This window comes from Homo sapiens, chromosome 8, assembly GCF_000001405.40.
Source record: "Homo sapiens chromosome 8, GRCh38.p14 Primary Assembly".
NCBI lineage: Eukaryota > Metazoa > Chordata > Mammalia > Primates > Hominidae > Homo > Homo sapiens.
Genome location: NC_000008.11, coordinates 39,939,255 through 39,954,828, shown reverse-complemented (window position 1 = coordinate 39,954,828; position 15,574 = coordinate 39,939,255). Strand labels below are relative to the sequence as shown.

The window sequence follows — 15,574 nt, the reverse complement described above, 5'->3', positions numbered from 1 at the left end:
AAAAAATTAGCTGGGCTTTGTGGTGCGCACCTGTAATACCAGCTATTCAGGAGACTGAGGCAGGAGAATTGCTTGAACCCGGGAGGCAAAGGTTGCAGTGAGCCGAGATTGCACCACTGCACTCCAGCCTGGGTGACAGAGTGCAACTCTGTCTCAAAAAAAAAAAAAAAAAAAAAAAAGAGAGAGAGACATAGGGAATTTGTGCATAGTGGAGAAAAGACCATGTGAGGACACAATAATAAGGAGGCCATCTACAAGCCAAGGAGCAAGACATCAGAAGAAACCAACTCCACGACACCTTGATCTTGGACTTCCTGCCTCAAGAACTGTGAGAAAATCAACTTCTGTGATTTAAGCCCTCCTGTTTGTGGTATTTTAAGCCCAACTGTTTGTGGCTACTGTTACAGCAGCTCTGGCAAACGACTATACTATTAAATCTGACTTCACAATCTTGAAGATAAGTAAGCATCAGCACCCTGTCTGGGGCACCAGCAAAGGCACAGAGGCCTCCTTATGGGATTTGTGAGTTGAATAGGGGGTCCTCATCTCAGAGAAACATTAAACTCAGAGCATCTGCCCAAACCAAAAGCAAAAGTGCATAGAATCACTGAGGACTTAAATGACAGGAGATGAGGACTAGAATATAATGTCTAGGAGTGGAGAGTTTTTACACTGGTCTTTTTATCACGTCTGTATCCTAAGCAACTTCCTAAATGCCCTTAGGCATAGAAACCAGTGAATAAATTTTCACTAAATAGAAACAATAAAATGGCCGGAAAAATTTTGAAAGAATAGAAAATGCAGAAAGGGTTATTAAGTTGAAACTAGAGAGAGAGAACAAATGGCATTCGGTTAGATGGCAATCGATCTCAAAACTAGCTAGTGATTACAAATTATTTTTAAGGACAAGACAGGGAATTTTTGTACAAATGGTGTGATTTAAACTTAAACATCTCGGGTAGAAGAGAAAAGTTTTGTTATTGTTTTTGTTTTTGTTTTGAGACAGAGGGCCGAGGCGGGTGGATCACTTGAGGTCAGGGGTTCGAGACCAGCCTGGCCAACATGGCGAAACCCCGTCTACTAAAAATACAAAAATTAGCTGGGTGTGGTTGGTGGTGGGCTCCTGTAATCCCAGCTACTCAGGAGGCTGAGGCAGGAGAATCGTTTGAACCCAGGAGGCGGAGGTTGCAGGGAGCCGAGATGGCGTCACTGCACTCTAGCCTGGGCGACAAAGCGGACTCTGTCTCAAAAATAATAATAATAAAACAATCAGTAAAAATAAATATGAAGTAAAAATTTAAACACTAGATTTCAATTTATGGGACTCATTAACTGGAGATGATATAAAAGTGAAAGATTTCTATCAGTCATAGAGCCTAAAAAAGCAGTTGACTAACATTTATAATAATCATATTTCAAGTACTGAGGTCAATTATGCTAGAGATTCTGAATGAACTATTCTAGGTGGAGCTTCGGCATCAGTATTTTTTAAAACTCCCCAAGTACTTTTGCTATATAGCCGGAAACAACAACTCTAAACCACCTTGCATGTAACATTCTTTGAGGAAAACTCTTCAAATATCAGATGCATCATGTCATTTACAGGATGTGTTAAATCTGAACTCCAGGCCTGGCCCTGTGGCTCATGCCTGTAATCCCAGCACTTCATGAGGCTGAGGTGGGCAGATCACGAGGTCAGGAGTTCAAGACCAGCCTGACCAACATGGTGAAACCCTGTCTCTACTAAAAATACAAAAATTAGGCCAGGCGCAGTGGTTCATGGCTGTAATCCTTGAACTTTGGGAGGCCAAGGAGGGTGGATCACCTGAGGTTGGGAGTTTGAGACCAGCCTGACCAACATGGAGAAACCCCATCTGTACTAAAACTACAGAATTAGCCAGGCATGGTGGCTCATGCCTGTAATCCCAGCTACTCAGGAGGCTGAGGCAGGAGAATCGCTTGAACCCGGGAGGCGGAGGTTGCAGTGAGCTGAGATTTTGCCATTGCACTCCAACCTGGGGTACAAGACGCCATCTCAAAAAAAAAAAAATCTGAACTCCAGAGCCTCATTTCCGGGCTCTCTCAGTTCTCTTCACTCTTGTCTCCTGCTGTAACCTTCTTGATGCCAAGCTAATTTCCTCGTATTCTCCATGTCTAAAGAAAAATTAGCCCTCCCTCCAAAAACACACATCCATGCCCCCTCTACACACGTAGGGCACATGAAACATTTATTTGCATGAGTTGGTGAGGCACACATTTTCCACAATAAATGTTGGAGCTTGGAAAGGTTTGAACATTGACAGAAACAGTGGGATAGAATATTTGAAACTAAGTCAGACTGCTTCCCAAAACCAGAATTTTTTTTATTCACTGTCTTGACCACGTTTTCTTCAGACATGTTCAAGTAACTATCTATAGTGAGAAACCAAAAGAGATACTGAAGGAACTTCTAAAAGAGTTTCATCTAAAAGAGATACTGAAGGAACTTCTGTGAGGCCACTGGACATGAAGGTACAGCCTCCCGACTCTGACGCTTGCCTTTCAACTAAACGAAAGTAAGATCTGGTGTCCCCTTGAGCAGGGCAGCCAATTGTGATTCTCTATCTACTCTTGCAACACTCTGCCTGGTGATTTTAGTGGCTGGGTCCCTCCTTATCTGTGAAGCAACCTGGGGCAGATTTTGATGAAAATGTCCGTCTGCTACCTCTTCCCAGAAAGGGAGCAGTTGAAAATGGTCACACCAATGAAAGAAAATTAAAACTGAAACAAGGAAGTACATTTTGAGAACTATGGGGAAAATGAACATAACACAGTAAAACCACTTTCCCAAGGGACTTTTTTCTGCATAAGCTCAGGAATGGACATTCCATTAACAAAACCATAGCATATCAGGCAGGGAGCATCACAAGAACCTGATGCCGTAAATGTTTCTCATCTGTTTCCGTAGTTATGAAAGAGGAAAGAACAAAGAGGGGAATTCTACAACTGTGGATCTACGTCATGTTTAGCTCATTTGTAATACTGTTTTTCCTCAGCTCAGTGTACGCATTTAATCCCAATAAGAGCAATTTGGTCTTTTCTTCCTTTGGAACTAGGCAGGATATTCCTGAATTGGGTTAGATGTATAGAGTGGAGTTTTTAACAAGCACTGGCTCAAGGTCAGAAGACTGGCTTCTGGTCCTTACACTGGATTTATGAAAATGCTTTCACATTCATTCTCCATAGCAATCTAGTGGAGGTGGCACCAGATCTCCATCCAGTAAATGTGAAAATTGAGGGTCAGGGGATGTTTGTAATTCAGTCAAAGTCACAAGAGCTATTAAGTGCAACTTAGCGTGACCGACTCATCCGAATTGTCCCAGCACTTTCCTGATTTAGCACTGAGAGTCTTGCATGTCAGGCGTCCATCCAGTACCTAACAAATAGGGACACTTGGTCAACCTAGTGGCAGTGTCAGAGGAAACAGTCCGGTCCATTCCCATTTCTCACAGTGCCACTGCACTCCAGCCTGGGCGATAGAAAGAGATTCTATCTCAGAAAAAAAAAAAAAAAATCTTGGGGTCCGATGTTGCAGTCATTGCAGTAATTTTGGAGAGGTTCCACCCCCACCCTCCAGCCTAATTTGCCATTTAACTATGATTAAAGAATAGTGTGGAATTCAGTGGGCTTTTACTGAATACCTACCCTGAGGCTTGTCTACTTCTGAGTGTTACCGGAGTGATATAAATGAAGATAAAAACTCTGCTGCTTCCAAGAGTAGAGAGCTGTTTTGTTTTGTTTTGTTTTGTTTTGTTTTGTTTTGAGACGAGTTTCGCTCTTGTTGCCCAGGCTGGAGTGCAGTGGCACTGTCAGAAATGGGAAAGTTCTTCAAAGATTATAAAAAGTCACAATTTCTTACTATAAGATTGCTAGCCACTATTAGTGGCTGTCCAAATCAGCTGTCGTAGCTTGCTCCGGCATGTCTGGACAGAACTAGAAAAGCCCCAGCCCATAGTGCATGCCATTCCTTATATGGAGATGTTTCCTTAACTATCCCTGGGCAACTTGCTTTTCTTTCTTTGTTCTGTTCCCTTATCCAATTAAAAAAGTTTTAAACTAATAGCCGATTGGGTAAAGTGTAAAATGTGAGGTCCTATTCCAGCCAATGGAAGCTGGACACAGCAGTAGGGTAGATGCGTCAGGTTATAAATAACTCTGTCTCCTTTGTTTGGTGTGCTCTCGTGGCTGGACAGCTATTGAGTAGCACCCTTTCTGCAGAAAGTAAAGGTCCTTTTGCTGAGAGATCATTTGTTCCCATGTTCATTCTTTTTCTGTGACACCAAAAACTTCATTCCCAACAGCATGATCTCCACTCATTGCAACCTCCCCCTCCTGGGTTCAAGGATTCTCCTGCCTCAGCCTCCCCAATAGCTGGAACTACAGGCATGTGCCACCACGCCTGGCCAATTTTTGTATTTTTAGTAGAGACGGGGTTTCACCATGTTGATCAACCTGGTCTTGAACTCCTGAACCTCAAGTGATCCACCTGCCTTGGCCTCCCAAAAGTGCTGGGATTATAGGCGTGAGCCACTGCACCTGGCCTGGACCCCACGATTTTTAACTGAGTGGCCTTGGCCCTCATTTAGGATGTAATAATAATAATTAATAATAATAATAACTAAAAGTCAAGAGTTATAAGCAGAACTAGTTCTGCTTTTGCCACTCATGACTTTCAGCAAGTCATTTCCTCTGGATTTCAGCTAGCTCAGATGTAGAAAGAGGGGGATGACACCTGATGGTCTGTAAAAGCTTTGATAGTTTTAATGTTCTAGGCCTTGGACCACACCAGATGAGAAAAACAGTGTTTATAAGGGCTAAATGATGAAAAAGATTTGCATTACAATTTGAGCCCTAAGTAGAATTAAGAAAGAGGTATTGTTTGTTAGCAAGGTTTCCTTCCCCTTCTCAGAAATTGCCACAAAGATTTAATCCTTCCTACCAGCCCTGAAAGCACCCAAGTTTCCTCATGTTCTCTTTTTTTCTACCATTAGCAAGTCAAGATAAACTAATTTACATCAAAATGTCGCAATAGTGATCCAGGACAGTTTATAAGTAAGCGCTCCTGGGGGGATCTGCATTACAAACATGTAGTCATGCAAAGGAGAAAATCTTTAACAGAGAAATTCCAGGTACTCTGTTGAAGGGGCTTGAGTCTTACTGTGACCTTAGCTCATGTACTTGGAAGTGCCATGTTCCAGGTGCTGAGGCTCTATATTTGTTCTTTATTTATATTTAAGTTCATGCTTTTTCTTGATAACTACAGGTTTGCTTATAATTTCTCTGGCCTGACAATCTAGTCAAAAGAAACTGAAACAAAAAATGTTCCATTTGACCTGTTCTCTGTGGTATCTGTCACTTCTCTTTTGATAGTAATGATAATCTATGCTCTTTGTAGCATCTTTCTCAGGTAAACAACTTGATATTTATATTGGTCTCTTAATAATCACATACATTTTTAAAAAACAAACCAACCAACATCTCAAGAAACATATTCTGACCTATCCTTACCAAGGCTCTATCCTTACCAGAGAATCTGGAAGAAGAAAGCCATACTCTTCAGATATGTGATAGCTTTCCAAAGACAATGGCACTGCTGTCTTCACATTCGGTCTGTGGGGCTCCATTATTTTGTTTGAAGTATCTGCATGGAAAGTGTCACTGAAGAATCAATTGTTCCTAATAAATTAAACACCCAGGTTCCATCCTTCGGTTCCAGTTAGTTGCGCAGTGTCTCAGGCACAGGAGAGAACTTTTCCCTGAGGTTGAATTCCAGATCATCATGGACTTTCTCTGAGACAGGGCTGAGTAAATTATTTAAAAAATGCTGCTTAAACAAACAGACAAACCAAACAAACTCAAAGAAATTCCCTCATTTTCTCTTACACACCAATATGAGAAAAGCAGTTTTAACCCCAGAGACAAATTTGTTCCACTTTGGAAAAGGAGAAATGAAATAGACCTGTGGTTGTGGTTTATCAAACCTGTACCCTAACAGGTACCTGCTCCATCGTGAATTTGACAAATGGATCAGAGTTACTCCAGCCAAATGGAGTAAACTATCAAAATTGTTAGCAAGGTTTCCTTCCCCTTCTCAGAAATTGCCGCAAAGATTTAATCCTTCCTACCAGCCCTGAAAGCACCCAAGTTTCCTCATGTTCTCTTTTTTTCTACCATTAGCACGTCAAGATAAACTAATTTACATCAAAATGTCGCGTTAGTGATCCAGGACAGTTTATAAGTAAGCGCTCCTGGAGGGATCTGCATTACAAACATGTAGTCAGGTAAAGGAGAAAATCTTTAACAGAGAAATTCCAGGTATTCTGTTGAAGGGGCTTGAGTCTTACTGTGACCTTAGCTCATGTACTTGGAAGTGCCATGTTCCAGGTTTGATAAACCACAACCACTTCAAAATTAGAAGTTACATGCAGACAATTATTCCAGTGATCTGTGGTGAGCAGGGAGGGGAGGAAGGGCCTGCCAGAAGCTCAGAAGGTGTTGTATGTAGTTTGAGCAACATAGTCTAGGATTATGATTGATTTATTTTAAGAAACAACACAATAACTTTTTGAAATATTCGATCACGTTAAAGAAGGATATATATTTTTTAGGTTTAGCAAATGAGATAATAAATACTAACAAACTTGGTAATAGCATTGTTTGAAATGTTTGTTCTTCCGTGCCGTAAAGAAATAGCACTCGAGGCTGGGCGCAGTGGCTCACGCCACTTTGGAAGGCCAAGGCACTTTGGAAGGCCAAGGCAGGCGGATCACCTGAGGTCAGGAGTTTGAGACCAGCCTCATCATGGAGAAACCCCATCTCTACTAAAAATACAAAATTAGCCGAGCGTGGTGGCGCATGCCTGTAATCCCAGCTACTCGGGAGGCTGAGGCAGGAGAATTGCTTGAACCTGGGAGGTGGAGGTTGCAGTGAGCCGAGATCGCGCCATTGCACTCCAGGCTGGGCAACAAAAGTGAAATTCCATCTCGAAAAAAAAAAAAAAAAGAAATAGCACTTGAACATAAATTTAATTTATTTAGTAAGGCCATTTTTACTTCCTGCAGAAAAGGTACACTTGCCAGCAGTTTTGCCACTAGAGTACACCAAACAAAGGAGACAGGGTCATTTATAACCTGACACATCCACCCTACTGCTGTGTCCAGTTTCCGTTGGCTGGAATGGGACCTTACATTCTGTATTTGTCCCAATTGGCTAGCAACTTAGAACTTTTTAAAAGAGGCACAGGTAGAGGAGAACAAAGGAAGGAGGAAGTAACTTGTGGAACGCTGAGAAAGGTAAAAACACTTTTAAATAAGGAAGAGGAACAGGCTATGACCTAATGCTTGCTTAGACCAGTATAAACATGCCAGGGAAAATATTTAGGCTAAATTGTGGGAGCTAAGAACATAAAGTACATTGATTTCCTTATTGTGGCTAGCAGATATTTAAGAATGTTAGCACAGGTCTTTGAATAAATTTTGCTTCTAAGAGAAGTTACTATTTATTCCTAATTAGACGGGGAGGAAAGTCTTTGAAGAGGAATATCTACTTTACATTTTACAGCAAGAACAAATTATTTAATTAAACACTCTACTTCTTTTTTTTTTTTTTTTTTTTTTTTGATACCTTAGCTCTAGTCCTAGAGTTTTGCCCCTGTTGGTTAGGCTTGAGTGCAGTGGCGCGATCTCTGCTCACTGCAACCTCTGCCTCCCAGGTTCGAGCGATTATCCTGCCTCAGTCTCCCAAGTAATTGGGATTGTAGGCACCCACCACCACGCCAATTTTTTGTATTTTTAGTAGAGATGGGGTTTCACCATGTTGACCAGGCTGGTCTGGAACTCCTGACCTCAGGAGATCCACCCACCTTGGCCTCCCAAAGTGCTGGGATTACAGGCATGAGCCACCTCTCCCAGCCTCAACCCTCTCCTACCAAACAACTTTTGGGACCCTACCACTAAGATAAGTGATTTCACTTATGAAGTGGGTACTACTGTAACTGCCCAGTGAGGTCACCTTGCCCACTGTCTAGACAGAGCCAATTTATCAAGACAGGGGATTTGCAATAGAGAAAGAGTAATTCATGAAGAGCAGGCTGTGCGGGAGACTGGAGTTTTATTATGATTCAAATCAGTCTCCGGGAGCATTCATTCAGGGAGCGGAGGTTATTTATCTATTTATTTTTTTGAGATGAAGTCTCTCACTCTGTTGCCCAGGCTGGAGTGCAGTGGCATGATCTCGGCTCACTGTAACCTCTGCCTCCCAGGTTCAAGTGATTCTCCTGCCTCAGCCTCCCGAGTAGCTGGGACTACAGGTGCGTGCCACCATGCCCAGCTAATTTTTTGTACTTTTAGTAGAGACAGGGTTTACCATGTTAGCCAGATGGTCTCAATCTCCTGACCTTGTGATCCGCCTGCCTTGGCCTCCCAAAGTGCTGGGATTACAGGCATGAGCCACCGCCCAGTGGGAGCAGAGTTTTTAAGGACAACTTGGTGGCCTGAGGGAGGCCAGCGAGCCAGGAGTGCTGACGGGTCAGAGATGAAATCATAGAGAGTCAAAGCTCTCTTCTTGTGCTGAGTCAGTTCCTGGGTGGGGGCCACAAGATCAGATGAGCCACTTTATCAATCTGGGTGGTGCCACCTGATCCATCAAGTACAGGGTCTGCAAAATATCTCAAGGACTGATCTTAGGAGCAGTTTAGGGAGAGTCAGAATCTTGTAGCCTCCAGCTGTATGACTCCTAAGCCACAGTTTCTAATCTTGTGGCTAATGTTAGTCCCACTAAAGGCAGTCTAGTTCCAAGGCAAGAAGGAGGTCTGCTTTGGGAAAGGGCTGTTACTATCTTTGTTTTAAACTAAAAACTATAAACTAAGCTTCTCCCGGAGTTAGTTCAGCCTATGCCCGGGAATGAATAAGGACAGCTTGGAGGTTAGAAGCAAGACGGAATCGATTAAGTTAGATCTCTTTCGCTGTCTCAGTCATAATTTTGCAAAGGCGGTTTCACTACCAGCTTTTGCAGATTAGTGATGAGAGATATAAATGAAATCCTAAGCTCTTCAACCAACTGAATGGACCTCTTCTTGGCTAAGAGGGTCCCAGAGTTAACTTGAAAACTGAGTTCTAGTTCATTACTAGATGGAATGTCAGACACTCCTCGTTATACCCTTGTAGGTAATTCTCTTTAGACATTCTTCCCTAAGGGCTAAACAGAAACCAGCCCTTTTGAAAGTCTCCTCTACCCCTGGTATCAAACAAGCACCTGACTGTTATCCCTCCCTTTTGCAGTTTCAACATAACAACCAGCCAGGTTCACCAAACATGCAGTGGTTCTGGCCCCTACGGAGAACACACAGTGAGGGTTTCCTGTCCTCTCCTTCACTTTTGACCTCAGAGGGCTGAAAGATCCTCCCTCAGATCATGCTAAGGCTGCCATTTTTTGAATGTAGGTCCCATGAAGGGGCATGAAGCCAAATTGCACATGTACACATTTCTCCTTTCATAAATATTCATAACTCCTCCTATAGCCTATTGAATATGTATATTTGGTCACCCCATTCAGCATAAATCTCTGTCTTATTCTTCTGACCCTGAAAGTGCCTGTTTCTGGCTTCCAGCCAGAGGCAATGCTTCCCAGACTGTAGCATGGCCACCCTGCAGGTTGCAACCCCATATAAGAAACCTCTCCTTTTCAAATTTATGAACTTTGTCATTCTTCAGTTAACAGTAAACTGAGGCACACACATGTGAATAACCCTGTCCAGTTTCACTCTATTAATTATTAGCAGAGCAAGGACTAGAGCTAAGGTATCTTAATTTCCAAGCCATTGTTCAGAATTTTATGCCAGGTGTTGAAAGGCCACATAGCTAATAGATGCTAGAACTGTTGTACCTGAACGAGTTGGAAAAACGCCACACTTTCAGACAAATTAAGAATCCTTTATTAGCCAGCGACCGAGAGACGGCTATCGCTCAAAATTCTCTCAGCCCCAAAGAAGGGACTAGATTTTCTTTTATACTTTGGTTTAGAAAGGGGAGGGGGGTCCAGTTAAAACAATTTTACAGAAATAAATTAGGCAAAAAGTTAAAAGGATAAATGGTTACAGGAAAGTAAACAGTTCCAGGTGCAGGGGCTTTAAGACTATTACAAGGTGATAGACTCGGGGCTTTGGGCGTTATCAATCAGACGAATTCCTGTGAATTGCGGATATAGCTTGCCACAGTATCTTACCAGTTAATTGCATTCCTGGATGTGCTGGGAGTCAGCTTGCACAAGCTAAGTCCTTGAGGAAGGGGCTGCCAGTGAAAGAGCCAAGATGGAGTCTGTCTGGCTCTCTTAGCTAAGGGAGAGTCAATTCAGGTGGAAACAAGGCTAGGTGATTAAAGGAAAACGGGGAGTCTAAAAGCGGGGTTAGTAAAAACAAGGTTGGGCATTACAGAACAGAGACTCACATTGTGGTAGTCCTGAGTTAACAGCAGGAAAGTCCTGGGCTGGGTGTAGTGGTTCACGCCTGTAATCCCAAAGTGGATCCTTGCGTAATAATATTCAGGTCATAGATCTCACTGGGGAAATTCCGAAGACCCTACCTTTTTGTTCATTGGACCTGAATTCTGGTCATAAGATTATACACAAATGTATTTGAATGCTTATGTATCCATACACATCTCTCCTTCCTCCCTTTCTCTAAGATAAATATGAAAGCTAAAAAAAAGCAGGAAGCTCCCAGATTAACTAATGCAACCGTTCTCACGCAGGTTTCAGTTTTGAAAGTTGTTTGATTTATGGTTCCTTATGAGACATCTAGGAGCCATTCTTGAACGCCTGGCCTCAGCTCCTTCTGTGCCAGGACAACAGGACTGAGCCACAGCACCTCTCGAGCCATTCTCAATTATCCACTTCCCCTGTTTGATTGCTCTGGCTAGGACTTAAAGTACTATGTTGAGTAAGAGTGGTGAGAGTTGGCGTGCTTGTCTTGTTCCAGTTCTTAGACGAAAGCATTCAACTGTTCACCATTCAGTATGATGTTAGCTATAGGTTTCCTTTTTTTTTTTTTTTTTTTTTTTGAGATGGAGTCTCGCTGTCGCCCAGGCTGGAGTGCAGTGGCGCGATCTCAGCTCACTGCAGGCTCCGCCCCCCGGGGTTCACGCCATTCTCCTGCCTCAGCCTCCCGAGTAGCTGGGACTACAGGCACCAGCCACCTCGCCCGGCTAATTTTTTGTATTTTTAGTAGAGACGGGGTTTCACTGTGTTAGCCAGGATGGTCTCGATCTCCTGACCTCGCGATCTGCCCGCCTCGGCCTCCTAGAGTGCTGGGATTACAGGCTTGAGCCACCGCGCCCGGCCAGCTATAGGTTTCTTACATATGGCCTTTATGGTATTGAGGAACATTCTTTCTACACCTAATTTCTTAAGAGTGTTTGTTTGTTTTTTGAGATAGTGTCCCTCTGTCATCCAGACTGGAGTACAGTGGCACAATCTCGGCTTACTGCAACCTCCACCTCCTGGGCTCACGTGATCCTCCTGCCTAAGCCTCTCAAGTAGCTGGGATTACAGGCTTGTACCACCACACCCAGCTAATATTTTTTGCATTTTTCTTAAAGACGGGGTTTCCCCACGTTAGTCACGCTGGTCTCAAACTCCTGACCTCAAGTGATCCACCCACCTCAGCCTCCCAAACTGCTGGGATTACAGGCGTGAGCCACTGCGCCCTGCCAAGAGTTTTTATTATTAAAAAATTCTCAATTCTCTTCAGCCCAATATCTAACCAATTTTGCAGTTCAGCATCTTATGCCTCCTAAATGCAAGTTCTCAGACTCTGCATGTTTAATTGTCCTCTCGTTCTTTCCTTCAATCTCAAATGAAAAGATGGCCCCATTATTTTTTATGTTAGTCATGTGGTTTTTTTCATCCATTCCCTCTGCACCTTCTCAAGAATTTCCTGTAATATTATACAACCATAGAATTGTGAAATATTAGAACTGAGTCATAGAATAAATGATTCAGTTCAATGCTCTCATTAAACACGAATCACCCAAGATTTATGGGAATGAAACAACTTATCAAGTGTATTCCTGGAAGCTGGCATCAGAGTTGGAGTAGAATCCTGATTTGATGCCTCTTAGTCTGGGACTTTCTTACTGATTTTGTTTGTTTGTTTGTTATACAGAGTCTCATTCTGTCACCCAGGCTGGAGTGCCGTGGCTTGATCTTGCCTCACTGAAACCTCTACCTCCCAGGTTCAAGCAATTCTTCTGCCTCAGCCTCCTGAGTAGTTGGTACTATAAGTGCCCGCCACCACGCTGGGTAATTGTGGTTTTGGTAGAGACAGGCTTTAGTCATGTTGGCCAGGCTGGTCTCAAACTCCTGACCTCTGGTGATCTGCCTGCCTCAACCTCCCAAAATGCTGGGATTACAGGCGTGAACCACCACGCCCAGCCCAGGACTTTTCTACTGTTAACTCAGGACTACCAGAGTGTGAGTCTGTGTTCTATCATCTATTAGCTACATGGCCTTTCAACACCTGGCATAAAATTCTGAGCTTCTGTTTCTGCAGGAAATCCATAATGTTTATCCCAGAGACATTACATGATGAATTAATGAGAAACTATAAGCGAAGCACCTACCATATAACAGGGAATGTTATTTTTCTCATGTTTCATGTTGTTTTCCTCTCATTCTAAAAATTCTTTCTTATTTTTTATTTTTGGAAACAAGCTCTCATTCTCTCAGCCAGGCTGGAGTGCAATGGTGCAATCATAGCTTACTGTATCCTTCACCTCCTGGGCTCAAGTGATCCTTCTGCCTCAGCCTGTTGAGTGAGTAGCTGGGACTACAGGTGTGTACCACCATGCTTGGCTAATTTTTATTTTTGTTTTTTGTAGAGATGGGGTTTTGCTGTGTTGCTCTGGGTGGTCTTGAACTCCTGGGCTGTAGCTATCCTTCTGCCTCGGCCTCCCAAAGTGCTGGGATTACAGATGTGAGCCACCATGTCCACCCATTCATTTCTTAGAATCATGCATTTCTGGTTTTCTTTCCTATTGTTTGAACTGTATTTTTCTGACTTCTTTTTCTATTTCATCCCTAAACATGCAGACATTTGCAGCATTAATGAGCCATTTCTCTATCTCAGTGTTCTTATGTATTTTTATTTAATCTTAACCATTAGTTATACTCGGTTCCCAAGTCTGCATACTCGATCTTGACTTTTCTTGTTCCCAAGGTCTAGACCCATGTTACTTGTGGGTCTGTAACTATCTTAGGTCCTGCCAATAAAACTTTCAAGAGCTCCTCATTGTTAATGAAATAAAGTGCAAATTTTCTTGGCCTGGCATTATGTCCAAAATCTGACCCCTAAGCACCTTTCTAGCAAGACCTTTGCTCAAGCCCTCAAAAATGATTTACTGCTCCTGAAACAACTGGTATTTGGTTTCTTTGGTCTGGTTATTCATAGTATTTTTCCAAAATACTTTCTTGACAGTCACCACTACTTCTACTTCTCATTTTTAAAAAGAGAGCCGGGAGTATTGTCGCATGCCTGTAGTCCCAGTTACTCAGGAGGCTTTTTTTTTTTTTTTTTTGAGATGGAGTCTTGCTTTGTCACCCAGGCTGAAGTGCAGTGGCATGATCTCGGCTCACTGTAGCCTCTGCCTTCCAGGTTCAAGCATTTCTCCTGCCTCAGCCTCCTGAGTAGCTGGGATTACGGGCCCCTGCCACCACACCAAGCTAATTTTTGTATTTTTTAGAAGAGATTGGGTTTCACCATGTTGGCCAGGCTGGTCTGGAACTCCTGACCTCAGGTGATCCGCCTGCCTCAGCCTCCCAAAGTGCTGGCATGACCTACCGCGCCCAGCCAAAGTTTTTTTTTTTTTTCAATTTTATTTGTATTTGGTACATAAGAATGGTATATACTTAAGAGTTGCATGTGATATTTCTATACATGTATGCAATGTGTAATGATCAAATCAGGGTAATTGACATCTCCATCACCGAAACAGTGATCATTTCTTTGTTTTGGGAAGCAGAGAGTAGAACAGTGGTTACCAGAGGGTGGGATGAATAGGGGGAGGAGGGACAGGGAGAGGTTGGTTAGTGGGTACAAAATTATAGTTAGATAGTAGGAATAAGTTCTAGTGTTCTATAGCACAGTAAGGTGACCATAGTTAATAATATATTGCGTATTTTAAAATAGCTAGAAGAGAGAGTTTTGAATGTTTCCAACAGGAACCCCACTTATCTTTTAAGATACATCTCAACTGCTAATACTTCCATGAACATTTCTTCAGAATTGTTTTCTTTCTGCAAAATTCTACAATCAATCTGTACCTCATTTACATCACACTTCCAGTTCTATCTGGTCTGATTGCTACTAATGTAGTAACCTCATCTTTCCTATTAGATTATAAGCTCCTTGAAAACAGAACCCATATCCAACACAACTTTGTATTTTCCTTTAGCCGTAAGCCCAATGTTTGGTATTCAATAAATATTTGTTGGATGAATGATATCTCAGTCTCATTATGGACCTCATATTTGTAGGACCGGGATCTGCGTGTCCGGTAGAACTTTGTACTGCTTTCGGTCACGCTGCTTTACTCCCAGCCCCAGAAACTTACCACGCAGTAAGAAACTCAGGGCTGTACCCTGCATGAAGCCCTGCCTGGCCTCTTTCTTACTAAGAGGAAGTTGGCTAGAGACAATTGTGCTTAGAAACTTTCTTTCGTAACAGTAAGGCTGGGAATTTTGGCGTCTTGGGTTGCATGATCAGCTTTCCATGAATCACAGTAGTACCAGTGCACAGCAAGGTATCCATTTCTATCAGTCGGGGTATTAGGGCTTTTTGGAAATGGCCCAAGGAGAAATTAGAAAAAGGAAAGAAAATATGGTCACAGTTTAACTTTTTAGGACCTCATTTACTTGTTTCCTAAAAGCAACATCAGATATACTTAGTTTCAGTTTCTAAATCGATAACGCTGGTACATTGAGTGTTTTTGCCCAGTTCATTAATTACTTCTTTGTTCCTAAATTCAATGGGGACATTTAAGTCCTTTCGTTGATTAACTTTTCAGGCATCTGGCATTGCAGCCTACTTTTTTTTTTTTTTAACTCTTTTATTTTCGTGACATTTTCCATGACATCTATCCTTCTTTATTTTACTGTACTTAATAACAAATAAATACGTAAAGACTGCAATCACGGAATTTTCTTTTTTCTTTCTTTCTTTCTTTCCTTTTTTTTTTTTTTTTTTTTTTTTTTGAGACAGAGTCTCGCCCTGTCGTTCAGGCTGGAGTACAGTGGTGCGATATCGGCTCACTGCAGCCTCCGCCTCCCGGGTTCAAGAAATTCTCCTGTCTCAGCCTCCCGAGTAACTGGGACTACAGGCATGTGCCAATACTCCTGGCTAATTTTTGTGGTTTTAGTAGAGACAGGGTTTTGTCATGTTGGCAAGGCTGGTCTCCAACTCCTGACCTCAAGTGATCCGCCTACCTCAGTCTCCCAAAGTGCTGGGATTACAGGTGTGAGCCACCACTCCTGGCCTCTTTTTTTT

At 42.6% G+C, this 15,574-nt stretch overlaps 1 protein-coding gene across 2 annotated transcripts in view, besides 2 other annotated features; it reads right to left on the bottom strand.

The window, feature by feature from the left end:
- Window positions 1–15,574, bottom strand: part of IDO2 (indoleamine 2,3-dioxygenase 2) — an 81,742-nt gene that overhangs the window by 61,564 nt on the left and 4,604 nt on the right. The window contains exon 2 of one of the 2 annotated variants that reach the window (NM_194294.5): window positions 5,565–5,680. In NM_194294.5, coding sequence (NP_919270.3) covers window positions 5,565–5,663 — 99 coding nt within the window. In that variant the 5' untranslated portion in view covers window positions 5,664–5,680. Of the gene's footprint in view, window positions 1–5,564; window positions 5,843–15,574 lie in introns of those variants that run through there. The other variant, NM_001395206.1, reaches the window with a different exon arrangement.
- Window positions 2,678–2,737: an enhancer, noted in NCBI's record as "active region_27278". NCBI's record gives its function as "activates an Ori minimal core promoter by ATAC-STARR-seq in GM12878 lymphoblastoid cells {active_cell/tissue: GM12878}" and the evidence as "EXISTENCE:reporter gene assay evidence [ECO:0000049][PMID:35858748]".
- Window positions 3,857–4,601: an enhancer, noted in NCBI's record as "NANOG-H3K27ac-H3K4me1 hESC enhancer chr8:39807747-39808491 (GRCh37/hg19 assembly coordinates)". NCBI's record gives its function as "activates a minimal SCP1, AML or CMV promoter by ChIP-STARR-seq in naive H9 embryonic stem cells {active_cell/tissue: H9 hESC(naive)}" and the evidence as "EXISTENCE:reporter gene assay evidence [ECO:0000049][PMID:30033119]".